The sequence below is a fragment of the Homo sapiens genome, chromosome 3, assembly GCF_000001405.40.
Source record: "Homo sapiens chromosome 3, GRCh38.p14 Primary Assembly".
NCBI classification, from domain to species: Eukaryota; Metazoa; Chordata; class Mammalia; order Primates; family Hominidae; genus Homo; species Homo sapiens.
This window is the reverse complement of record NC_000003.12, coordinates 55829716-55856880: the sequence shown is the minus strand read 5'-3', so window position 1 is coordinate 55856880 and position 27165 is coordinate 55829716. Positions and strand designations below refer to the sequence as shown.

At 39.5% G+C, this 27165-nt stretch overlaps 1 protein-coding gene and 1 non-coding gene across 21 annotated transcripts in view, besides 2 other annotated features; both read left to right on the top strand.

Moving 5' to 3' along the window:
• ERC2 (ELKS/RAB6-interacting/CAST family member 2) overlaps positions 1-27165 on the top strand; it is a 960157-nt gene that overhangs the window by 611587 nt on the left and 321405 nt on the right. The gene's annotated exons all lie outside the window — the stretch shown is intronic.
• Positions 4287-4389, top strand: MIR3938 (microRNA 3938). The gene has a single exon (NR_037502.1). It is a non-coding gene; the product is annotated as a microRNA 3938 (primary transcript).
• Positions 24406-24906: an enhancer, noted in NCBI's record as "NANOG-H3K4me1 hESC enhancer chr3:55866003-55866503 (GRCh37/hg19 assembly coordinates)". NCBI's record gives its function as "activates a minimal SCP1, AML or CMV promoter by ChIP-STARR-seq in primed H9 embryonic stem cells {active_cell/tissue: H9 hESC(primed)}" and the evidence as "EXISTENCE:reporter gene assay evidence [ECO:0000049][PMID:30033119]".
• Positions 24907-25407: an enhancer, noted in NCBI's record as "NANOG-H3K4me1 hESC enhancer chr3:55865502-55866002 (GRCh37/hg19 assembly coordinates)". NCBI's record gives its function as "activates a minimal SCP1, AML or CMV promoter by ChIP-STARR-seq in primed H9 embryonic stem cells {active_cell/tissue: H9 hESC(primed)}" and the evidence as "EXISTENCE:reporter gene assay evidence [ECO:0000049][PMID:30033119]".

Genomic DNA, 27165 nt, shown 5'->3' with positions numbered 1-27165 from the left:
CAAGGTTTCTGCATGTTGTAGCATGTATTAATGCTTCATTTCTTTTTATTGCCAAATAATATTCTATTGAACAGATATATCACATTTTGTTTATTCACTAGCTGATGGGCATTTGGATTTTTTCCGCTCTTTAGCTATTATGAATAATACTACTATGAACATTCATGTGCAAGTTTTTATGTGGATATGTGTTTTCATTTCTCTTGGGTATAGATATTTTTCTTTTTAACATTTACCATCACCGTATGTGTGTGTATCATATTGTGTATATATGCATTATATTGTATGTGTATGTATATATACACGCAGAGACATATACATGTGTGTCTTTATACATATATGTGTATATGTGTGTGTATATATATGTTTTGTTTATTTTTTCATTGTCTGTAGTCTTCTTTATGTAATCAAAGCTCTGGGAGAGCCTGGGCTATATCTCCGGTGCTCAGAACAGCGCCGATTGAATGAATTAGTTGATGAAGAATGAATGGTGTTCTGTTCTGCATTGGACGAGTCACAAAATTCTTCCTGATCTATAGTTTATCGTTTGGTCTTTCTCTCTTTCAAACCCTTCTCTGGGTGGAATATGCCCTAGCAGATCGATCACTCAAGCAAGAGAGCTGTTCCTTAGTATCACTGGAGCATTGGTGGGCCCTACCAAGCCTGCTGCCTGGCTAATGTCTAAAGACACAAAACTGGGGTGACTTAACCAACCACAGGCCTGAGTTTAGTTTTAATGCTGATTATTGTTATCAAGAGAATCCGTTCTGTCTGTGACAGGAATCCTCTTGCATTTGTAGTCAAGGCAAAGATGAAGTTCTTTTTAGTGGTGCCAAGAAGAGCCTGAGCTCCATCTTTCTCAGAGGCTCAGTGTTCATCTCTACTTTGACAGACAGGGGCAAGAGAGGAAAGAATGGACTGCTGCAGCCTGGAGGTCGATGGCCAAATATATTATTATTCACCAGTTACATTTAAGAGGCCAGGGACACCTTTTTATGTAAAGCCAAAGTAAAATTTAAATTACTGCAGAATTTTTGTATATTTCAACAAAGAAAGTATGAGTCCCATGGGAAGGGAAATAAGGCATTCTAGCATTTGCTTTTATATCTCTGACAAATCCTTGCAGGTATTGTTTAAATCTGCTAGCTCCACATTTGTTCTAATAAGCTATATAGTTTCCTTTAATGTTTTAATGGGTTCTACAGTACTTTTATTCTGTTTGATTCTGTTTTTCTTTATAGTTAATCTGCCTTTAAGCATTTAGAGGAAATTGTTCAATTTTTCAAAAACTTCCACAGGATGTGATATGTATGGTTTAAATGGTAAATCATCCCCCCCTACCAAAGAAATGTCATGGCAAGAAAGCAGACGTAGTTATCACACTGTTTATTATTTGACTTGGCCAAAGGCCTGGATTTGGGGTCTAATTTTAATATATTAGAATGTACTTTTCTTGGAAGTTTGCATATAAATACTGTATGTTTGGTAAGTGAACAGCGTTGTAAATCAAATTACACTTGACTGAATGTGATTTTCTCCATGTTTATTATTTATTCCTTTCATCAGTGAATGAGGAATTTCTCATCTTGTGTGTTATAGGTGTGTACATTTCCATCTGAGACACTCTTGTGATGGGGTGGCTCAGGATCGCAGATTTCAGTCATATTGGTATGGTTTACACCTCTGAGATGCCTTTTAGTCATTGCAGGTGGATCATCTGCTGTGGCAATCTAGGTGGAAATGGGGCAGTTCACCTCCTTTTGAGTGTTTCCTTAGTGGAATTGTTTTCCTTCTCAAAATTAAAATAAACATTGGTAAGAGAGAATCTTAAAGGAATTCAAGTTACTGGGCTGCCATGGATAATGGGGGGCTTATCATACTTTGAGCATCGTGCTTTTGGCCATAGGAAAACTTTAAGACCCACATCAAACAAGGATGTGAGGGTCTCTATTTACAGCTGAGCTTCCGGGGAGGAGCTCTCTGTTAAAACAAGAGCAGAGGCACCATCCCACCCTCCCCACCAGCCTCCTTCCCCATCCCCAGTTTACAGTATGCAGGCCCATAGGAATGCGAATCCCACTCCAGAGCCCATTGTGAATGTGTTTCTGAATTGTTTAACATGTTTCTCACAAACAGGACATGACATGTATGGTTTAAATGAAAATAATGGCCCTGCTGCTCCGTGCCAGACTGTCTTTTGTCAAGAGCATCCTGGCAATAGGAAGGGCTCTGGGCTGACATGACCCACAGGCCAGGTCCTTAGGGGATCTGGGCTGGATGCATTTCACACGAGAAGACTCTTAAATCAGGGGGCCTCCCTGAGGGCCCATGTCCTGGTGTGTGCCTGTGCTGCTCTGCAGCAGGCCCCAGAGCCGCGGTTGTCTCTGCTGCTCCTGTGCTCTCAGCCACAAATGAAGAGGAAGATTTTCTTAGCTTTTGGATTCCTTAGCTAAGGAATTTATTGTCAAACCAAACCAAACCAAACCAAACCAAAACCAAAACAAAACAAAACAAAACAACTACAAAAGCAAAAACTCAAGTTTATGGGAGAATGTGGGGATTTTAAATCTTATCTAGGTGCTTTGTGCTTTATTTTGTTTTCCCCTGGGATGGAGTCTCACTCTGACACCTGGGCTGGAGTGCAGTGGCGCAATCTCAGCTCACTGCAACCTCCGCCTCCCGGATTCAAGCGATTCTCGTGCCTCAGCTTCCCAAGTAGCTGGGACTACAGGCGCCTGCCACCATGCCCAGCTAATTTTTGTATTTTTAGTAGCGACGGGTTTTTACCATATTGGCCAGACTGGTTTCAAACTCCTTACCTCAGGTGATCGGCCCTCCTCGGTCTCCCAAAGTGCTGGGATTACAGGTGTGAGCCGCCGCGCTGGGCCTGCTTCGTGCTTTGTGGAATTAGGCCTTGTGATAATTTGGTCTAATTTAGGCCTTGTGGTCAAAGCATGTAACATAAAATTTATCATTTTCACTGTTTTCAAGTGTCCAGCTTAGTAGTGTTAAGTACATTCACATTGTTGTGCAGCCATCACCACCACCCACTTCTGTAATTCTTTTCATGTTCCCAAACTGAAACTCTGCACTCATTCTATAATAACTGCACGTTCCTCCTCTCCCTGGCCCCTGGCAGCCGACATTATACTTTGTCTGTGAATTTGACTCCTCTAAGTATTTCAAGTAAGTGGAATCATACAATATTTGACCTTTTGTGACCAGCTTATTTCACTTAGCATAATGTCTTCAAAAGTGATGATGTTTGAAATAAGCAGATTAGAGTATATCTAATTCAATTCATACTTATATTTCCTGAGTGCTAGTGCTTTCTTTTTTTTTCTTTGTTTATTTGAGACAGGGTCTCACTCTGTCTCCCAGGCTGGAGTGCAGTGGCACAATCATGACACTCATGGCAGCCTCAACCTCCTGGGCTCAAGTCATCCTCCCCTCTCAGCCTCCCAAGTAGCTGGGATTGTAGATGCTACCACTATGCCTGGTTAATTTTTAATGTTTTGTAGAGACAGGGTCTCACTATATTACCCAGGTGGGTCTTGAAGTCCTGAGCTCAAGTGTTCTTCCCACCTCAGCCTCTCAAAGTGTTGGGATTACAGGCATGAGCCACCACACCCAGCCTCCTGAGTGCTTTCTATGTGTATCTTTTAATTTTCAGTTGGTTGATTCATCAAGCTTCCATGTCCCATGAATCACATGGTTGGACGGTCGAGGGTGGGTGGATATGCTGTCACCTTAGATCAGGAGTTCTCAACCAGGGGCGATTGTGCTCCACAACCCACCCCAACCCTGACCCAGGAATATTTGACAACTGGAGACATTTTTCGTTGTTAAAACTGGACAGTGGGATGGGGAGGAACCAGAAGGTATGCTACTGGCATGTATAGGGCAGAGGCCAGCGATGCTACTAAACATTCTGTAGTGCACAGGACAGCCTCCTGCAACAGAGTATTAGCCCATCCAAATGTCAAGGTGCCAAATTCAAAAACTCCTATAAAGGGCTAATGACTATGCCAATAATTTAGGGGGGAATATCTGGAGAAAAATGCAGTATGTATTTTTATTGAGTAATTTTGAAACAAATTTCTATGCTGCCATCAATTTATTACTAATTTAGTGAAATGTCTTAAATGTTGAGAGTTCAGTTATGAGTAAATGCAGACTGAGTTCCTCCTCTCATGGAGTAACTTCAGGTATAAAAATGGAAGGAGTCAAAAGAAAAGAATCCATGTACCTTTACCCTCATTAATTCTGCTGCAAGATTTTTTTAAAGGAATTTTTAACCCGATCACTAGATTATCTACAAGGGAATTTTTTTTTAATTTAAAAAATTCCCTTGTAGATAACCCGGTGGTCAGGTTGGATGGCTCCATGGAGGTCATGAGGTGTAGAGCTGTAACTAGGAGAACTTGCTGTTGTGCCTCTTCTGTTACTAAGTGGCTATGTGACATTTGGTAGTTCTGATTATCCCTCTGGGCCATATTTATCTTACCTATAAAATAAGGGATTTGTATTACATATAAAAATCTATGTCTTTGGCATTAGTGAAATACAACAAATAATTCTAAGCTAGTAGTTTATTCTTGTGGTGTAATTACTGTAAAGCACATTTTACTACATCAGTTTTTTTGTTTTGTTTTGTTTTCGAGACAGAGACTCACCCTGTCACCCAGGCTGGAGTGTAGTGGTGCGATCTCAGTTCACTGCCACCTCCGCCTCCCGGGTACAAGCAATTCTCCTGCCTCAGCCTCCTGAGTAGCTGGGATTAGAAGAATGCGCCACCACGCCAGCTAATTTTGTATTTTTAGTAGAGATGAGGTTTCACCATGTTGGTCAGGCTGGTCTCAAACTCCTGACCTCAAGTGATCCACCCGCCTGGCCTCCCAAAGTGCTGGGGTAACAGGCGTGAGCCGCTGTACCCGGCCTGTTTTAGCAATAAATTAATATGTTAAGCCTAAAACAAACTGCCAGTAAGGACACCATGTTCTGTGCAAAGGGCCCAAGACCCTGGGCTCTCTCTGTTGTCATATCTTCTCCTTATTAGGCTGAGCTCCCATGGCCAACAATGGTGTGACACCCATGTGATCCAAAGGATTCTTTTTTTTTTTTTCTCATGCAGTTTTGTTGTGGTCAACTCTAATGAGAGTAGATGGGATTTTTGGATTTTTTAAAAGTTAGGTGGGCAGGAAAAGCAAAAAATATGTATTTATAATAAAAACTATTTTTTAAAACTCTAGATGAGAGAGGTGAGGAACAAGTATCTAAAACCAAAGCTCTGGAGTCCAGTTATTAACATGCCTCACATAATGATAATGGGAACCAAACTAAATAAAGCCCTGGTGATCTTCAAGTTTGTGGGTTGGGCACGCAAGCCAGAAAAAATTTTGTTATTTCCTTGGAATGCGTTGTGTGTCATTCTCCAGTGCATTCCCTCTAGTTGTGTGTGTGTGTACATGTTTAAATAAAGACAATGACAAAATAATTGATTGTAAAGAGTTGTAGCAAACACCATTATCTGAAGTGTAGTTTAAGTGGAGAGAGGCTGGACCATAGAGAATGCTGAGAATAAAGCCTGGACTCTGGGGAGGCCACGTAGGAGCCTGCTCCAGGCCAGTACCCACTGTTGTCCTGTTACCATGTGCATTCTCATCCTGCCACCAACTCCCAGCATGGGCTTAAAAAAATCATTATCTAGTATTTTTTCTTAGAGATGGAAGTAAGTTTTCTTCCCAAGGTCAGAGCTTTTCCAAGAATGTGCCAGCAGTCTCTGCAGTCTCTGAATTTCAAACAACATCTGATGGGGTCTGGATTTTGAGCATGGACTTCTGTCTGGCTCTCCAGGCTATTTGATGGGATCCAGTCTTGCTCTGTCAATCAGACTTGGAAGGCAAATACAAGTCCCAGGGGAAGTCAGGCTAGAAGGCAGGACAGGAACTTGACAGGAAGAGACCAAATGTTGCCCTTTGGTTCTCTCGTGTGTGTGTGTGTGTGTGTGTGTGTGTGTGTGTGTGTGTGTGTGTTTGAAAAAGAGTATCTAGAAACAGGATGGTCAGGAGGTTTCATTCAGAGTGCTACCTTGAACTGATGGATAATGAATGTTGTAAACATTTAAGGTGCCATAGGGAACAACTCTGTGATCAATTAGTGATGTCTGACATCATTGGGTAGAAGCTGCAATGGCCCATATGTTATATATTTTCCAACATTCTCTAGTTCAGGGATTTTAGATTAACAGTGTGACTCTCTAGGAGTGGTCTTGGCTGTTATTTAGACACTTTGATTCTGGTAAATGCATCTAAAACAGTTGACCCTGGTATGAAGAAGATGAACACCTAAGTACTAGCTCTGTCTTTTACCACCCATGAGGTCTTAGGAAGATTGGGAGGCCTTCCTATGTCTTTATCTTCTTCCTCTATAAATAGTTACTTACTTCTTCCAGTTATTGTAAAGATAAAATGACTTAATACACATTATTTAGAATGGTGCCTGTTACACAGTGAACTTTCAACCAGTGTTGGTTTGTGAGTTGAATGAAAGCCTTTAAAAGATATGTCCACCTGGAACCTCAGAATGGACTTTATTCAGAATAAGGGTCTTTTCAGATGTAATTAATGTAAGTATCTCAAGATGAGAACATCCTATATTTGGATGGGCCCTAAATCCAATGACAGATGTTCTTATGAGACAGAAAAGAAGAAGATACACAGAGACACAGACCAGAAGTTCGCATGAAGTTGGAGGCAGAGATTGTGGAGGCAGAGAAGTAATGCATCTGTAAGTCAAACAATGTCAAGGATTGCTGGCCATCACCAGAAATTAGGAAAAAGCATGGAATGGTTTCTCCATCAGGGCCTCCAGAAGGAACCAACTCTGCTGACATCTTGATTTTGGACTTCTGGCCTCCAGAACTGTAAGATGATAAACTTTTGTTGTTTTAAGTTACCATAGCGGTAATTTATTATGGCAATCCTAGGAAACTAATACAGTTGGGTATTGGCATTATTATTGTTGTTGTTTTTAAGGTGAAGATCAATTCCTTGGCTGTCTCCTAATTTGGGCAGTCCTGGAATTTGTGGACTTTGATGAAGTCAAACAGAATCTCAGGCTACCCAGAAGCACTGTTACCTCTGATGGTGGCAAGTGGCTTGTTCTTTGGACTATTTTTCCCTCAACTTAGTCCTTGGAAGATTTAAATTTGAAATCATTAGAATGTAAAAATTGAAGAGGGGCATGGGCATTTGTTGATATGGAAATAGAATGGCTGACAGTAGAATGGACAAGGCATCCTCCTGCGTCGGTGCCAGCTATTACATCCAAATTTGAGAGAAGGCAGGGAGTTGAATTCTAGAAAAAGTGAGCTCTGGGAAAAAATCTTAAAATGTGCAAAGAGGATGTTAACCTGGAGACAGACCCCCAAGCACTGACGTTCTTGGGGTGATAGAAGCTTAGAGAAACCACAGGTCCAGGGTATAGATGATGCTTCAGCTGGCCTAAAGCAAATAGACATTTTAAAACCTGGGAATACATTGAACACTTCTTAGTTAGAAAAATGGATTTTAGGAGTCAGCACTTCCTACATGTCCAGATCAGTCCAGCTCCATATACATATGTGCAGAAGAAGCACAGATCAGTCAAAAGAATCTGGATTCATATGGTGGTCCGGGACTCTTATCTCAGATCTGCCATTACTGTGTGGTCTGTGGCAAGTTACTGAATCTCTTGGCCTCAGTTTTGTCCACATAGAAAATGAGAGTGACTGTGCCCAGAATGCAGACCATGTTTTGAGAACAGTTGACTGTGGACTCACCTACCATAGAGCCTGGCAGATGGCAGGCACTGTCTCTGTTTTTTGAAAAAAAATATTTAAGTGCCTAAGATGTGAAAAACTGGTACTAGGCATGTTAGGGTATCAAAAAGTTGAACAACAACAACAAAAAAACTGCCTCCACTCACAAAAGCTCCACACTGTAGTGAAGAAGATGTGGGCACACTTAGAAGAATGAAATAGTGACTAAGAAAGGTGATTGTTTTTTGTTTTGTTTTGTTTCCCCAAACAAAAACAAAAAGATTGAGCAAGGGCTATTAGAGGAGATTCAGTTTGATCTGAATCTTGGAAAATAATCAGTTTCCACAATCAGGAAACTTCCCTTCCATAATCAGGGAAATCAGGCATTAGCTTCTTAGAGGACAAGATGACCAACTATATAGAAATATAAAAACATATGTGGTGAGCTTAGAGAATGGTGAGTCATCCTCGGAGCAAGCAATTATTGGGAGTTGAGAATGGATAGGAGTGAATGCAGGGGAGATGACGGCGGAGGTGCCAGTATGGGCCAGCAAGTTGGAATGCCACCATAAGGAATTTGGAGCCACAGGGAAACATGGAAGGCTTTTAAAAGTGTAATGCGAGGATGCCTCTGCGGTGTGAAGGATGAATGGGAGCAGAAGTCAGTAGAAAACACAGGCATAAGTTAAGAGGCTTAGGCGATGGCCCAAGTGGGCAGTGGTGGAGATAGATCCTGGTGGAGAAGAATAATTAGGAAAAAGAGGGAGGAGAGAGAACACAGGAGCTTCATAAAATACCTATTGAGTGAGTAAAATTAATAGGATATGGAAACAGATTGACTTTGGAAGAAAAGGCAGAAGGAGGACAAGACGGCTTCAGATGATGCATAAATATGAGCTCCTAGGGAGTCTGAAGTTTTTTCAGTTACTTAGTTTTGTTATTTTTGGTTACGTTTTGTTTTTTTTCAAAGTGATAATATCCTAGCTGGGGCTTGGTGGCTCATGCCTGTAATCCCAGCACTTTGGGAGGCCGAGGTGGCAAAAATGCTTGAGCCCAGAGGTTGGAGACCAGCCTGGGCAACATAGCGAGACCCTATCTCTACAAAAAATAAAATAATTAGCCAGGCGTGGTGGCACATCTGTGGTTACAGCTGATTGGGAGGCTGAGGCAGGAGGATCATTTGAGCCCAGGAGGTCAAGGCTGCAGTGAGCTGTGATCGCACCACCGCACTCCAGCCTGTGCTACAGTGAGACTCTGTCTCAAAAATAATAATAATAGTAGTAATTCAGAAATGTATAAGCAATGAAGTGAGAATCACCCAAATTGCCACCATGCAGAGATAATCATTGTTAACATTTTAATAATTGAAACTTCCTTTCTTTTTCTCTTTCCTTTCTTCCTTCTTTTTTTCATCTGTCCTCCCGGCACCATATGTATATAATTTTATATGAAAGTGGTAAAATAGTACTTGCTACTACAGTCAGCTTGGTTCCCAGCATAGCATTAGTTTCAATGCTGGTGATGATGCACAGCTTTACCTCATTGTTTTTAATAGCTGTGGAGCACTCTACTTTTATCTGTGGCATCGTGATTTATTCAACTACTCCCTGTGAATGGATGTCAAGTGTATCTCCCGGTCTTGCTGTTAGAGATCACACATTTCAAGCCCTCGCATATGACTATGAATTCATATGAGGTAGTCCATTCCTAAACATTTTGCCAATAGTGACTTTGGCAATTTTCAAAATCATTTTAATGTGGAAGGCTCCCCTCCCTCTCAATAAAAAGGAGGGTGAAAATCCTCATTTAATTAATTTATGTCCAATGGGAAAAGCTTTATAGGTTTATAACTTATAAGCCTGTAAAGTTCTCCCATTTATACTTTTTCCTTTGTGAATTGCCTCATTTTCCCCTTTGATCTTTGATCCAATGGCACATCTGATAAATCTATTTGTATATTAAAGATATATATCCTTTGTTAGAAACATTGAAAATATTTTCCCAGCGTGTTTGTGTTGTGGGTGTTATGTACATTTGCCTTTTTGACATTTATGTTTTCCCATCTGCCAATCATTTCTTCATGGTTTCTGGTTTCCAGGTCAGGCCTAAGAAGACCTTCTATTACCTCCACAAATAACAGGCAGATGTATGAAGCAGTGGGTCTGGAACTTGCTCACTTGTGCTTTGCCATTTACCCTACAAACTGTGCAAGCTTTCTGCTGAGTTTCCCAGTGGCAGGGCAGGCAAATATCTCATTAAGGGCTTTGAATATCTTGAAATGGAAACCTGACATCTCTCTGAAATCCCTTCTCCTGACAAAACACATAATGCAGACGTAACCTGAAATCAGAACCAATGCAGAGAGAGAGAGAGAGAGAGAGAGAGAAAGAGAGAGAGAGAGAGAGAGAGAATGAATAAGGATGAAATAACACTTATATCAGAGAAAGGGGAACACTTATACGCTGTTGGTGGGAGTATAAATTAGTTCAATCATTGTGGAAAGCAGTATGGCAACTCCTCAAAGAGCTAAAAACAGAACTACCATTTGACCCAGCAATCTCATTACTGGGTATATATCCAAAAGAATATGAATCTTTCTACCATAGAGGCATGTGCACACAAATGTTCATTCCAGCACTGTACACAATAGCAAAGACATGGAATCAACCTAGATGCCCATCAGTGGTAGACTGGATAAAGAGAATGTAGTAAATATTCACCATAGAATACTATGTAGCCATAAAAAAGAATGAGATCATATCCTTTGCAGGAACATGGATAGAGCTAGAGGCCATTATTCTTAGCAAACTAAGGCAGGAAGAGAAAACCAAATACCATATGTTCTCATTTATAAGAGGGAGCCAAATGATGAGAACACATTGATACAAAGAAGGAAACAACAGACTCTGGAACCTACTTGAAGGTAAAGTGTAGGATGAGGGAGAGGAGCAGAAAAAATAACTATTGGGTATTAGGCTTAGCACTTGGGTGATGAAATAATCTGTACAATAAATCCCTGTGACATGAGGTTACCTATATAACGAAACTGCACATGTACCGCCCAACTTAAAAGTTAAAAAAAGAATGATATAATATCAATCCTTGTAAGAAGTCATTTCCAACTCAGAGGCTGCCCTTCTTTCTGGGATATTCCTTATAACTTTCTGTCCCCAGTGGTGTTTGCTAATATATTTGTGTTTAGTCTGAACTTCATCAGTTGCTTGCTCTATTTGCACAACCTTTGGTGTACATGGCTGCCTTATTGAAAAATTTAGTTGGTCTCCTGTGAGCTGAGTTATTGTCTTGCCTTTACAGGCAAGTAGCTTCTTGAATCTGGTGTTCCAGGCATTCATTATACGCCAATGGACTCTGGCTTATAGATTCAGACTCATTGCAAAAAATGGATTCTAAGTAATTCAAATGGCAAGGTTTAAGAGTGAAAATTGCTACTTGTAAGTAAAACAGTTGGGGTTGAATTATGTTTTTAGAATTAGACCCAAATGTTGTTGGCAGATTTTCCTAAAAAAAGAAGTCCTACTTTTCCATTTTTGCCTTTTTTTTTTTTTTTTTTTTTTTGAGACGGAGTCTCGCTCTGTCGCCCAGGCTGGAGTGCAGTGGCGGGATCTCGGCTCACTGCAAGCTCCGCCTCCCGGGTTCACGGCATTCTCCTGCCTCAGCCTCCCAAGCAGCTGGGACTACAGGCGCCCGCCACTACGCCCGGCTAATTTTTTGTATTATTAGCAGAGACGGGGTTTCACCGTTTTAGCCGGGATGGTCTCGATCTCCTGACCTCGTGATCCGCCCGCCTCGGCCTCCCAAAGTGCTGGGATTACAGGCGTGAGCCACCGCGCCTGGCCCATTTTTGCCTATTTTTAATAACAGGAGTCCCCAAGCCCTGGGCTGGATCAATACTGATCCATGTCCTGTTAGGAACCAGGTTGCACAGCAGGAGATGAGTGGCAGGTGAGCGAGCATTACTGCCTGAGCTCCGCCTCCTATCAGATCAGTGGTGGCATTAGATTCTCATAGGAGTGTGAGCCCTATTGTGTCTCATGAGGAACCTGGGTTGAGTGCTCCTTATGAGAATCTAATGCCTGATGATCTGAGGTAGAACACTTTCATTCTGAAACTACCCCCTCACTGGTCTGTGGAAAACTTGTCTTCCTTGAAACCAGTCCCTGGTGCCAAAAAAAGCTGGGGACTGCTGCCCTATAGGGTCTCTTTTTATCCTCTGATGTAGCTTATTCATTTTCATAGATATGTCCATAGTATTTTTTAGTGTAAATGTCTTAGATGAAGGGTAGTAGCAATCTTTTCACACTTTTATTTTGGTGTTATAACAATTGTGACATTTTGAATTCATGTATCCCTTTAATTTTTTTAAATTGAGATATAGCATGCATGCATGAAAGTGTACAAATCATATGACTTCACCTTTGTACATTTTCACAAAGTGAACACACCCATGTAACTAATGTCTAGATTAAAAAACAGAACATCTTGAGCACTGTAGAAGTCTTGCCTTCCTAGTCATTTTTTCTCTCAAAGATAATAATTATTATGATTTCTCACACCATAGATTAATTTTGCCTGGCTTTGAACTGGATGTTAATGAAATCATACAGCAAACATTCTTTCCCTTCTGGATTATTTTACACATTATGTTTGTGAGATTCATCCATCTGGTTGTGTGTACTTCTAGTCAATTCATTCTCATTGTTGTATTCCATTCTTCAATTATATAATGTTTCTTTTAAACCATTCTGTTTTTCATGTATGTTTCCATTTGGGGACTATTATGAATAGTGTTGCTGTGACATTCTACTAACTGTGTTTTGATGAACATTTGCCTACATTTCTATTGCAGATATACCAAGGAGTAGAAAGGCATATGTAGAATGCATATGTTCAACCTTTCAACAGTAGTGGTAGACAGCATATGCCACATATTGCATGAAAGTGGACCTCACAGCTATGCATTTTTGTATTTCTGGAGGAAAATATCAGTATTTAATATTTGAAAGGAATTCAAAAATGTTCGTTTACTTTGGCATGGTTTCCATTATTTGCTTTTATCTGAGAACTCACAAGTTATTCTATAGGTAATACAGTCTGAAGTAAATTGGGTGTAAATGCCCAATCCTTGTCTCATTCCAATTTACGAAGCCCAGCAGAAAACATTTGTTACCCTATATTTTTACAATACATTCATTGTGATGAGGCTCCAAGCTTTATGAACAGGAAATTGGGAGGAGAGAGCTAATATGATCCAGTGTGATTTTAGTGTAACAACTGGAGCCTTTGCAAAGGAAGGAGCCAACAGGTCTGACATGAAACATTGGGGCCACACATTTTTGCAGTGGGATTAAGGAATGGGAGAACTTGTGCTTTTCAGCATTGGAAAGTCCTCCCTGCAAACATTCCACATTTAAAGTAAAATATTTCAAGCCTTCAGAAAGAAGCTGCAAAGGAAAATTGAAATAGCTCAACAACTTGACTATATTTTCTAGATTTTAAGTCCATGACAATAAATCACACTTTTGATCTCTTCTTGAACTTGCACCATTGGGTGGTTGGGGAAGAGTGTTCCAGAAGAGTTTGTGGCAATGAAATAAAATTCTCCTTTCTATCAATATCATTCAATATTTTTATCCTCATTATCAGTCTCATATGATCTGATGTATTAGTTTCTTCCTACATCAAAGTCTGTGTAGGCCATCTAGGACAGACTAAATGGTTTGACAGGAAACCAGGTTCCTTCTATCTTATCCCTCTGCCACCCTAAAAACATGACAGTTTCCATCTCTTGGTCCAAAATGGCTCTTCCAGCTCCCTCTATCCAGTCTGTGCTCCAACCATGAGAAGAGAAAGAAGTAATGGAGACCATATTCCTCTCCTTCAAAGGCACAGGCTGGATGCTTTGTATATCACTGCTGTGCTCATACCTTGGCCCAAACTTAGTCACATGGCTACATCCTGTGTTGTGGGGAAATGGAAAATTTAGTGTTTTGTTGTATACCACAGGCCAGCTAAATGTCCGTAATTATAGAAGGGAAGATTGGACAATAACCAGCAGTCCTATGTGGGTTTGGAGCCTTGATAAATACATTGCATATTTTTATTCATGGACTCTGATCTCTCCTTCTCTCTCTCTCTCTCACACACTCCTTGTCCTTCTTACCTGCTTTCCTTCTGCATAGAACTAATCTCTTAAAGCTCCTCAACTCACTTTTGATCGTTAGAGGTTAGAACCTCTAACGTTTGATCGTTTCTTGGTTAAAACCAAGAAATAGGAGGACAGAAAGCCAAGCAGTCCTTTCCATATCTTTCTTGAGATCTGGGAAAACAAAAATTGTTCTTTTTTTTTAACTGAGTCTATGTGTTAATTTCACTGAGGTAATGGGATGGTTCTGGAATTCTGAGTCTACAGACCCTTGATAAAGTTGAGCTAAAAAAAAAAAATTTCCACCCCAATTCCTAGCAACCTATATTTAACCAGAGCACTTGTCAGTATGTGTTAGACAGGGAAATAATAGTTATCAGTCTACAGTGAATTATAAAGGAAAATAACTAGTTAAACTTGAGATAGCAGGGGTGCCGGACAGCTGAATAGCAGAACCCCTCCACTCTTAAATAGGGCTGGGAGCCTGGAATGCATTGTCTTCAGAGACAAGGAGAGCTGAACGTTCATTGTGTGTCCCTGGAACGGGACACCCACATTCCTTTGTAAGCTTGTCTCAGCTCATCTGCAGCCCTTCAACACTTCTGAGCCACTCATGGTTGTCTAAAAGGGTGCAATTTTTTGGCAGGCAGATTTTGATCATCTTTTTTTTGGAGAGACAGAGTCATCTAGCTCTGGAATTAGCCAACCTGAGTTTGACTTCCACTTTCACCACTACTAACTCACTGTTTGGCTTTAGGCAGATTCTTAATATTTTTCTGAGCTTCAAATTCCTCCAGTTTTATTTAATTTTTTTTAATGTGAGGACATTTTGCTAGTTAACTTAAGTTACTTCACTTCATTCATTCACGCAACAGTTGTTGGTTACATGAAAACTGAGAAAGGCTGAGTGTGAGTCCCCTTTTTCCTGAATATGGGAACCAGGAAATACACATTTAATTAGCACAGGTGTGTTCAGGCTAGGCTGACTATTAGGTTTTTGGCAGGATGTTTTCAAGACGAGATGTAGTACAATGAAGCAATTAAGAGGTTGGGCTCTGAAGTTGGACAAATCTAGGATGGATCCCCAACACTATGCGGCCTTCCTTGAGTTTCAGTTTCCTCATGGTGTTTTTGTTAAGATTGTTGACTCTAGAATCAAATTCCAGCTTTACCCCTTTCTAATGTTGTGACCTTAGGCAAATTATTTAACCTTTCTCTACCTTAGTCTTTCTCTTTAAATGTAGAAACCATAATAGCACTTGCCTTATGTTTTTTGAAAGAATTAGATGATATGAAAAGCATTTAGTATGGCACCTAGAACATAGCAAATGCCTAGTAAAAGGTACCTTCTGTATTGTTTTGGTTGTTGCCAGTGTATTACTCTATTGTCACTCTGCTAATAAAGACATACCCGAGACTGGGTAATTTATAAAGGAAAGACATTTAATGGACTCACAGTTCTACATGGCTGGGGAGGCCTCACAATCATGGCAGAAGGCAAACGAGAAGCAAAGGCATGTCATACATGGCAGCAGGCAAGAGAGTGTGTGCAGGGGAAGTCCCATTTATAAAACCATCAGATCTCGTGAGACTTATTCACTGTCATGAGAACAGCATAGGAAAGATCCACCCCCATGATTCAATTACCTCCCACCAGGTCCCTCACATGGAACGCATGGGAATTATGGGAGCTACAATTCAAGATGACATTTGGGTTGGAACACAGCCAAACCGTGTCAGCCAGATTTGTTTTATTTAAGTTTATTATTTGAAGTTTTAACAAATTTATTTAGGTATGATTGACATACAATAAATTATACATATTTCATGCATACAACTTGATATATTTTGACATATGGATGCAGGTGTAAAGCAGTCAGGTTAATGAACATATCCATTACTACCCCAAATTTCCTAATGCCTCTTTGTAATCCATTCCTCCTACCTCTCCATGACCCCTCTATCTCTATCTTTAGGCAAGCACTGATCTGCTTTATGTCACTCTGCTATATAGTAGTTTGCAATTCCTAGAATTTTACGTAAATGGAATCGTCAATGTACTCTTTTTTGACTTGCTTATTTTCACTCATCCATGTTACATGAATCAATAGTTATACCTTTTTATTGCCTACTAGTATGCCAGTAGGTTTGGCATATCATTTGTCTGTTCATTTGTTGCCGCACATTTGGATTGTTTCCGGTTCAGGGCTATTTTAAATAAAATAACTATGACCATTCCTCTATAAGCCTTTTTATGCACAAATGTTTTCTTTACTTTTGTGTAAATACCTGAGAGAGGAATAACTGAGTCATATGGTAGGGTATGCTGGACTTTTCAAGAAATCGTTGACTGTTTTCCAAAGTAGTTGTACCATTTTACTTTCCCACCATTAGTGTATGAGAGTTCCAGTTTCTTCAAATCTTAACCAACACTTGGTATGGTCAATCCTTTTAATTTAGCCATACCAAGTGTTGGTGAAGATTTGAAGTATCTAATTGTGGTTTTATTTTGCCTTTCCCTAAAGACTAATGAACTTGAACATTTTTTCATGTGCCTAATTGTCACCTGTGTTAGATTCTTTGGTGAAATGTTTGTTCATATATTTTGCCCATTTTGTATTGTTTGTTTACTTGTTTTGGAGTTTTGAGAGGTCTTTATATAGTCAATATTTGATTCCTTTATTACACATGTGATTTATAAATCTTTTCACCTAGTGTGGGGACTGCTTTACTTATTTTGAAGCTCTTTTAATAGGAGCATAAACATTTAGGATTGTTATGTCCTCTTGGTTAAATGATTCCTTTATCAATATAAAATGATCCTCCCTATCCCTGCTAATATTCTTTATTTGGAAATCAACTTTGATACTAATAGAGCCACTCCAGTTTTCTTTTGATTAATTAGTGTTAGTATATTTATTTTTCCAGCTTTTTACTTTTTTTCCTATTTCTGTCTTTATATTTACAATAGATAACTTGTAGACTGCATATATTTGAGTCTTGCTTTTTTATCCAGTATGAAAATCTTTGCATTTTAATTGAGGTACTTAGACCAAATACATTTAATGTGATTCCTTGTTATGGCCAGATTTAAATCTGTCATCTTGCTATTTGTTTTTATTTGCCCCATCTTTTCGTTAATTCCTCTTTTTACTGTCTTGATTTGGATTAATTGAGGATTTTTAATTGATTCACCTTTATCTTGGCAATTTATTCACCATAGCTCTTTGTTTTGTTATTTTGGTGGTTGCTTTAGGATTTATAATATGTATCTTTAACTTATTAAACTCTATCTTCAAATAATATTATACCATTTCATGTAGAGCATAAGAATCTTATTATATTTCCATTTTTTTCTTTCTGTCTTTTGTGCTTTTGCTGTAATATATTGTATTTTAATTTTTGTTATTAACCCCACAATACATTTTTATTAGGTTTGTTTTAAATGGCTAATTAGAAGTTTAAATGATGAGATAAAATATCTTTATGTTTACTCATGTAGTTAATATTTTTGGTGCTCTTTATTCCTTTTTGTGGATCAAAATATCCGTTTGGTATTACATTCCTTGTGCTTAAAGACTTTAACATTTTTTTGTGGTGCAGATCTACTAGTGAAGAATTCTATAAGCTTTTTTTTAGCTGAAGAAGTCTTTATTTCATCTTCAGTTTGAAGGTAATTTTTTGTAGTAAGAGTATCCTAGTTTGGCTGATTCTTTTTTCTTTTGGTATATTAAAAATGTTGCTCCACTGTGTTGTAACTTTTATTGTGTCTGGTGGGAAATCTTCTGTTATCCTTATCTTTGTTTCTTTATAAGTTTTTTTCTGACTCCTTTTAAAATTTCTCTTTATCATTAGTTTTAAGTAATTTGGTTATGATGTTCCTTGCCTTAATTTTTCACATGTTTCTTGAGCTTGGTGTTTATTGTAGTTCTTGGATCTGTGGGTTTATAATTTCTGTTGCTGCCATTTTATGGTACCTTCATGAGTAGCAGGGTATTATTTAATACATTATTCTGGTTATCTATTTCTTTTTGAGTGAGCTTTTGTAGTTTGTTTCTTTTAAGAAACTGGTTTATTTCATCAATGTCAGATTTATGAACATAGAATTGTAGGTAATATTCCCTATTTATGTCTGAGGGTTTCTAATGATGATGGTGTCTTTTCCTTTCTGATACAAGTAATTTCTGTCTTCCTTCCTTTTTTTCTTGGTCAGTATGCCTAGAGATTTATCAACTTAAGTGATCTTTTCAAAGAACAAACTTTTTGTTTCCTTGATTTTAGTATTTTTCTAATTTCAATTTGATTGATAGACCTTTCTTGTTTCCTAATAAAACATTTAGTGCTATTAATTTCTCTCTAATTGCTGTTTTATCTACATTCTGTATGCTTTAATATGTTGTGTTTTCATTCAGTTCAAAATATTTTCTAATTTCCCTTGTGACTTCCTTTTTAGCCTGTGGATTATATAAAAGTGTGTTATTTAATTTTCAAATATTTGGGGATTTTCCTTGATATATTCTTGGTATAGATGTTTAGTTTTATTCTATTATGGTCAGAAAACATACTTTTTATAATCTTTATTCTTTTAAATTTCTTGAGGTTTGCTCTATGACACAGAATTTGTCTGTTTTGTCAGTGTTCCATGTGCACTAGAAAAGAATGTGTATTCTGCTGTTGTTGAGTGGAGTGTTCTAAAATGTCAATTAAGTCAAAGTGGTTAATAATGCACAGATCTTCTATCCCGTTGTTGATTTTCTTTCTACTTATTCTGTTGCTTATTGAGAGAGAAGTGTTAAAGTCCAAAGTAAAATAATGTTTTTTTTTCAATTCTGTTTCTGCTTGATGTTTCCTGAAGCTCTATTATTAAGTACATAAATGTGTAATATTGTTGTAACCTCATAATTATGTAATGATTATCTTTTATTACTAGGGACTCTTTTTTTTTAATTCCTGGTAATACTGTTTGTTCTGAAATTGACTTTGTCTGATATTAATGTAGCCACTGCAGCTTTTTTTCCCTTTAGTTTTTGTATGGTATATGTTTCCCATTTTTATTACATTTAATCTGTGTATATCTTTATATTTGAAGTGGGTTTCTCATAGACAGCACACAGTAGGGTTTTGTTTTTTTAATTTACTCTGGCGGGTTCTGTCTTTTTTTTTATTACACTTTAAGTTATAGGGTACATGTGCACAACGTGCAGGCTTTTTACATAGGTATGCATGTGCCATGCTGGTGTGCTGTACCCATTAACTCGTCATTTAGAATTAGGTATATCTCCTAATGCTATCCCTACCCCTCCCCCCACCCCACAACAGTCCCCAGAGTGTGATGTTCCCCTTCCTGTGTCCATGTGATCTCATTGTTCATTTCCCACCTATGAGTGAGAACATGTGGTATTTGGTTTTTTGTCCTTGCGACAGTTTGCTGAGAATGATGATTTCCAGTTTCATCCATGTCCCTGCAAAGGACATGAACTCATCATTTTTTATGGCTGCATAGTATTCCATGGTGTATATGTGCCACATTTTCTTAATCCAGTCTATCATTGTTGGACATTTGGGTTGGTTCCAAGTCTTTGCTATTGTGAATAGTGCTGCAATAAACATACATGTGCACGTGTCTTTATAGTGGCATGATTTATAATCCTTTGGGTATATACCCAGTAATGGGATGGCTGGATCAAATGGTATTTCTATTTCTAGATCCCTGAGGAACACCACACTGACTTCCACAATGGTTGAACTAGTTTACAGTCCCACCAACAGTGTAAAAGTGTTCCTATTTCTCCACATCCTCTCCAGCACCTGTTGTTTCCTGGCTTTTTAATGATTGCCATTCTAACTGGTGTGAGATGGTATCTCATTGTGGTTTTGATTTGCATTTCTCTGATGGCCAGTGATGGTGAGCATTTTTTCATGTGTGTTTTGGCTGCATAAATCTCTTCTTTTGAGAAATGTCTGTTCATATCCTTCGCCCACTTTTTGATGGGGTTGTTAGTTTTTTTCTTGTAAATTTGTTTGAGTTCATTGTAGATTCTGGATATCAGCCCTTTGTCAGATGAGTAGGTTGGGAAAATTTTCTCCCATTTTATAGGTTGCCTGTTCACTCTCATCGTAGTTTCTTTTGCTGTGCAGAAGCTCTTTAGTTTAATTAGATCCCATTTGTCAATTTTGGCTTTTGTTGCCATTGCTTTTGGTGTTTTAGACATGAAGTCCTTGCCCACGCCTATGTCCTGAATGGTAATGCCTAGGTTTTCTTCTAGGGTTTTTATGGTTTTAGGTCTAACGTTTAAGTCTTTAATCCATCTTGAATTAATTTTGGTATAAGGTGTAAGGAAGGGATCCAGTTTCAGCTTTCTACATATGGCTAGCCAGTTTTCCCAGCACCATTTATTAAATAGAGAATCCTTTCCCCATTGCTTGTTTTTCTCAGGTTTGTCAAAGATCATATAATTGTAGATAAGCGGCATTATTTCTGAGGGTTCTGTTCTGTTCCATTGATCTATATCTCTGTTTTGGTACCAGTACCATGCTGTTTTGGTTACTGTAGCCTTGTAGTATAGTTTGAAGTCAGGTAGTGTGATGCCTCCAGCTTTGTTCTTTTGGCTTAGGATTGACTTGGCAATGCGGGCTGTTTTTTGGTTCCATGTGAACTTTAAAGTAGTTTTTTCCAATTCTGTGAAGAAAGTCATTGTTAACTTGATGGGGATGGCATTGAATCTATAAATTACCTTGGGCAGTATGGCCATTTTCACGATATTGATTCTTTCTACCCAGGAGCATGGAATGTTCTTCCATTTGTTTGTATCCTCTTTTATTTCATTGAGCAGTGGTTTGTAGTTCTCCTTGAAGAGGTCCTTCACATCCCTTGTAAGTTGGAGTCCTAGGTATTTTATTCTCTTTGAAACAATTGTGAATGGGAGTTCACTCATGATTTGGCTCTCTGTTTGTCTGTTATTGGTGTATAAGAATGCTTGTGATTTTTGTACATTGATTTTGTATCCTGAGACTTTGCTGAAGTTGCTTATCAGCTTAAGGAGATTTTGGGCTGAGACAATGGGGTTTTCTAGATATACAATCATGTCATCTGCAAACAGGGACAATCTGACTTCCTCTTTTCCTAATTGAATACCCTTTATTTCCTTCTCCTGCCTAATCGCCCTGGCCAGAACTTCCAACACTATACTGAATAGGAGTGGTGAGAGAGGGCATCCCTGTCTTGTGCCAGTTTTCAAAGGGAATGCTTCCAGTTTTTGCCCCTTCAGTATGATATTGGCTGTGTGTTTTTCATAGATAGCTCTTATTATTTTGAGATACATCCCACCAATACCTAATTTATTGAGAGTTTTTAGCATGAAGCATTGTTGAATTTTGTCAAAGGCCTTTTCTGCATCTATTGAGATAATCATGTGGTTTTTGTCTTTGGTTCTGTTTATATGCTGGATTACATTTATTGATTTGAGTATATTGAACCAGCCTTGCATCCCAGGAATGAAGCCCACTTGATCATGGTGGATAAGCTTTTTGATGTGTTGCTGGATTCAGTTTGCCAGTATTTCATTGAGGATTTTTGCATCAATGTTCATCAAGGATATTGGTCTAAAATTCCCTTTTTTGGTTGTGTCTCTGCCCAGGTTTGGTATCAGGATGATGCTGGCCTCATAAAATGAGTTAGGGAGGATTCCCTCTTTTTCTGTTCGTTGGAATAGTTTCAGAAGGAATGGTACCAGTTCCTCCTTGTACCTCTGGTAGAATTCGGCTGTGAATCCATCTGGTCCTGGACTCTTTTTTTTGTTGGTAAGCTATTGATTATGGTCACAATTTCAGAGCCTGTTATTGGTCTATTCAGAGATTCAACTTCTTCCTGGTTTAGTCTTGGGAGGGTGTATGTGTCGAGGAATTTATCCATTTCTTCTAGATTTTCTAGTTTATTTGCGTAGAGGTGTTTGTAGTATTCTCTGATGGTAGTTTGTATTTCTGTGGGATCGGTGGTGATATCCCCTTGATCATTTTTTATTGCGTCTATTTGATTCTTCTCTCTTTTCTTCTTTATTAGTCTTGCTAGTGGTCTATCAGTTTTGTTGATCCTTTCAAAAAACCAGCTCCTGGTTTTGAAGGGTTTTTTGTGTCTCTATTTCCTTCAGTTCTGCTGTGAGTTTAGTTATTTCTTGCCTTCTGCTAGCTTTTGAATGTGTTTGCTCTTGCTTTTCTAGTTCTTTTAATTGTGATGTTAGGGTGTCAATTTTGGATCTTTCCTGCTTTCTCTTGTGGGCATTTAGTGCTATAAATTTCCCTCTACACACTGCTTTGAATGTGTCCCAGAGATTCTTGTATGTTGTGTCTTTGTTCTCGTTGGTTTCAAAGAACATCTTTATTTCTGCCTTCATTTCATTATGTACCCAGTAGTCATTCAGGAGCAGGTTTTTGAGTTTCCATGTAGTTGAGTGGTTTTGAGTGAGTTTCTTAATCCTGAGTTCTAGTTTGATTGCACTGTGGTCTGAGAGACCATTTGTTATAACTTCTGTTCTTTTACATTTGCTGAGGAGAGCTTTACTTCCAACTGTGTGGTCAATTTTGGAATAGGTGTGGTGTGGTGCTGAAAAAAATGTATATTCTGTTGATTTGGGGTGGAGAGTTCTGTAGATGTCTATTAGGTCCACTTGGTGCAGAGCTGAGTTCAATTCCTGGGTATCCTTGTTAACTTTCTGTCTTGTTCATCTGTCTAACGTTGACAGTGGGGTGTTAAAGTCTCCCATTATTAATGTGTGGGAGTCTAAGTCTCTTTGTAGGTCACTCAGGACTTGCTTTATGAATCTGGGTGCTCCTGTATTGGGTGCATATATATTTAGGATAGTTAGCTCTTCTTGTTGAATTGATCCCTTTACCATTATGTAATGGCCTTCTTTGTCTCTTTTGATCTTTGTTGGTTTAAAGTCTGTTTTATCAGAGACTAGGATTGCAACCCCTGCCTTTTTTTGTTTTCCATTTGCTTGGTAGATCTTCCTCCATCCTTTTATTTTGAGCCTATGTGTGTCTCTGCACATGAGATGGATTTCCTGAATACAGCAGACAGATGGGTCTTGACTCTTTATCCAGTTTGCCAGTCTGTGTCTTTTAATTGGAGCATTTTGTCCATTTACATTTAAAGTTAATATTGTTATGTGTGAATTTGATCCTGTCATTATGATGTTAGCTGGTGATTTTGCTCGTTAGTTGATGCAGTTTCTTCCTAGCCTCGATGGTCTTTACAATTTGGCATGATTTTGCAGTGGTTGGTACCAGTTGTTCCTTTCCATGTTTAGTGCTTCCTTCAGGAGCTCTTTTAGGGCAGGCCTGGTGATGACAAAATCTCTCAGCATTTGCTTGTCTGTAAAGGAGTTTATTTCTCCTTCACTTCTGAAGCTTAGTTTGGCTGGATATGAAATTCTGGGTTGAAAATTCTTTTCTTTAAGAATGTTGAATATTGGCCCCCACTCTCTTCTGGCTTGTAGAGTTTCTGCCGAGAGATCCGCTGTTAGTCTGATGGGATTCCCTTTGTGGGTAACCCGACCTTTCTCTCTGGCTGCCCTTAATATTTTTTCCTTCATTTCCACTTTGTTGAATCTGACAATTATGTGTCTTGGAGTTGCTCTTCTCGAGGAGTATCTTTGTGGTGTTCTCTGTATTTCCTGAATCTGAATGTTGGTCTGCCTTGCTAGATTAGGGAAGTTCTCCTGGATAATATCCTGCAGAGTGTTTTCCAACTTGGTTCCATTCTCCCCGTCACTTTCAGGTACACCAATCAGACGTAGATTTGGTCTTTTCACATAGTCCCATATTTCTTGGAGGCTTTGTTCATTTCTTTTTATTCTTTTTTTCTCTAAACTTCCCTTCTTGCTTCATTTCATTCATTTCATCTTCCATCACTGATACCCTTTCTTCCAGTTGATCGCATTGGCTCCTGAGGCCTTTACATTCTTCATGTAGTTCTCGAGCCTTGGCTTTCAGCTCCATCAGCTCCTTTAAGCACTTCTCTGTATTGGTTATTCTAGTTATACATTCGTCTAAATTGTTTTCAAAGTTTTTAACTTCTTTGCCTTTGGTTTGAATTTCCTCCTGTAGCTCAGAGTAGTTTGATCGTCTGAGGCCTTCTTCTCTCAACTCGTCAAAGTTATTCTCCGTCCAGCTTTGTTCCGTTGCTGGTGAGGAACTGCGTTCCTTTGAAGGAGGAGAGGCGCTCTGCTTTTTAGAGTTTCCAGTTTTTCTGCTCTGTTTTCTCCCCATCTTTGTGGTTTTATCTATTTTTGGTCTTTGATGATGGTGATGTACAGATAGGTTTTTGGTGTGGATATTCTTTCTGTTTGTTAGTTTTCCTTCTAACACACAGGACCCTCAGCTGCAGGTCTGTTGGAGTTTGCTAGAGGTCCACTCCAGACCCTGTTTGCCTGGGTATCCGCAGCAGTGGCTGCAGAACAGCGGATTTTCGTGAACCGTGAATGCTGCTGTCTGATCGTTCCTCTGGAAGTTTTGTCTCAGAGGAGTACCCGGCCGTGTGAAGTGTCAGTCTGCCCCTACTGGGGGATGCCTTCCAGTTAGGCTGCTCAGGGGTCAGGGGTCAGGGACCCACTTGAGGAGGCAGTCTGCCTGTTCTCAGATCTCCAGCTGTGTGCTGGGAGAACCACTGCTTTCTTCAAAGCTGTCAGACAGGGACATTTAAGTCTGCAGAGGTTACTGCTGTCTTTTTGTTTGTCCGTGCCCTGCCCCCAGAGTTGGAGCCTATAGAGGCAGGCAGGCCTCCTTGAGTTGTGGTGGGCTCCACCCAGTTCGAGCCTCCAGGCTGCTTTGTTTACCTAAGTAAGCCTGGGCAATGGCGGGCGCCCCTCCCCCAGCCTCGCTGCTGACGTGCAGTTTGATCTCAGACTGCTGTGCCAGCAATCAGTGAAACTCCGTGGACGTAGGACCCTCTGAGCCATGTGCGGGATGTAATCTCCTGGTGTGCCGTTTTTTAAGCCCGTTGGAAAAGCACAGTATTCGGGTGGGAGTGACCCGATTTTCCAGGTGCCGTCTGTCACCCCTTTCTTTGACTAGGAAAGTGAACTCCTTGGCCCCTTGCACTTCCCGAGTGAGGCAATGCCTCGCCCTGCTTCGACTCACACACGGTGCGTTGTACCCACTGTCCTGCACCCACTCTCTGGCCCTAGTGGGATGAACGCGGTACCTCAGATGGAAATGCAGAAATCACCCATCTTCTGTGTCACTCATGCTGGGAGCTGTAGACCGGAGTTGTTCCTATTCGGCCATCTTGGCTGCCCGACCAGGTTCTGTCTTTTAATTGATATGTTTAGACTATTATAATCCTTGATATGATTTTATTTAGGTTTACCATTTTATTATGTGTTTTCCCCTGCCTCCTTTAATTTTGTTCCTCTTTCTCCCCTTTGAGACTTATTTTAGATTATTTGGATTTCCTGCCCTTCCCTCCTCTCCCCTCCCCTTCCCTCCCTTCCCTTCCCTTCCCCTCCCCTTCCCTCCCCTCCCCTCCCCTTCCTTCCCTTCCCTTCCCTTCCCCTCCCCTTCTCTCCCCTCCCCTCCCCTTCCTTCCCCTCCCCTCTTCTTTCCTTCGAAGTTCAGATCTTGCTCTGTCACCCAGTCTGAAGTACAGTGGCACCATCACAACTCACTGTAGTCTTACACTTCTGGGCTTGACCAGTTCTCCCACCTTAGCCTCCTAAGTAGCTAGGACTCCAGCATTGTGCCACCCTGCCTGGCTAATTAAATTTTTTTTTTTTTTTGTAGAGAGGGGTCTTGTCATGTTGCCTAGGCTGGTCTTGAACTCCTGGCTTCAAACAACCTTCCTGTCTTGGCCTCCCAAAGTACTGGGATTACAAGTGTGAACCACTGCAGCTACCTTATTTTAATATTTTTAATATTCTATTTTAATTTATCTATTGACTTTTGACTATATCTATTTGTTTTATTTTAGTTTTTAAAGAAATGGGGTGTCACTCTGCCACTCAGACTGGAGTTCAGTGGTGCAATCCTAGCTCACTGCAGCCTCAAATTCCTGGGGTCAAGGGATCCTACTGCCTCAGCCTCTCAGGTAGCTGAGGCTACAGGCACATAGCATCATACCTGGTTAGTTTTTTATAATTTTTTAGAAATGGGGTCTTGCTATGTTGCCCAAGCTGATCTCAGACTCCTGGGTTCAAGTCATCCTCCCACCTCAGACTTCCAAAGTTCTGGGATTATAGGTGTGAGTCACTGTACCCAGCCTCTTTGCATTTTTAGTGATTATTTTAGAGATTACTATACAGGTACCTAACCTTTCATAGTCTACTTAGAGTTAATATTTTACTACTTCAAGTAAATTGAGAAACCTCACAACCTTATAATTATCCTCACTTTCCTATTTGTCAAATGTATTATATATGTACATTGAAACCCCCTCCCAAGACAATATTATCATTTTTACATTTAGCAATCATACGTAGTTTGAAGGCCCTAAAAGGAGAAAAATAGTCCATTATATTTCCAAGATATTTGCAGTTGCTGTTGAATGTCCTTCGTTTCTGAATTTCTGCATTTCTCTTTAGTCTGAGCAACTTTTTAACATCATTTTTTTAGAGTAGGTCTGCCATTGATAAATTCTCTGAATTTGCCTTTATCATGTTTCATCTTCAGTCCTGAAGCATATTTTTGCTGGCTGTAGAATTCTCAGTTGACAGTTTCTTTATGTCAGGATTTAAAAAAATTGTTCCATTGTTTTCTGTCTTCAGTGATTTCTGAGAGAGGTACACAGTCATTTCAGTCATTGTTTTCTTCTGTGTAACGTCATTTTTCTGTAACTGCTTTGAAGCCTATTTTTGTTTGTTATTTGTTTGTTTGACCTTTTGTTTTTAGCAGTTTGATTTGGATGTAGCTGCAGGTGGGTTTTTTTGTTTGTTTGTTTGTTTCTCCTGTTTGAAGTTGGCTCTACTTTTTGAGTTGTATATTTATGTCTATTACCAAATTTCAGAAGTTTCAGTTATTATTTTTTCTTCAAATATTTTTTCAGCACTGCACTCTTTTTCTTCTTCTGTGATTCCAATGACACAAATGTTCGATATTTTGGGGCAGGTGTGGTGTATTATACCTGTAATCTCAGTACTTTGGGAGGCTGAGGCAGGAGGATCACTTGAGCCCAGGAGTTTGAGATGAGACCAGCCTGGGCAATATAGTG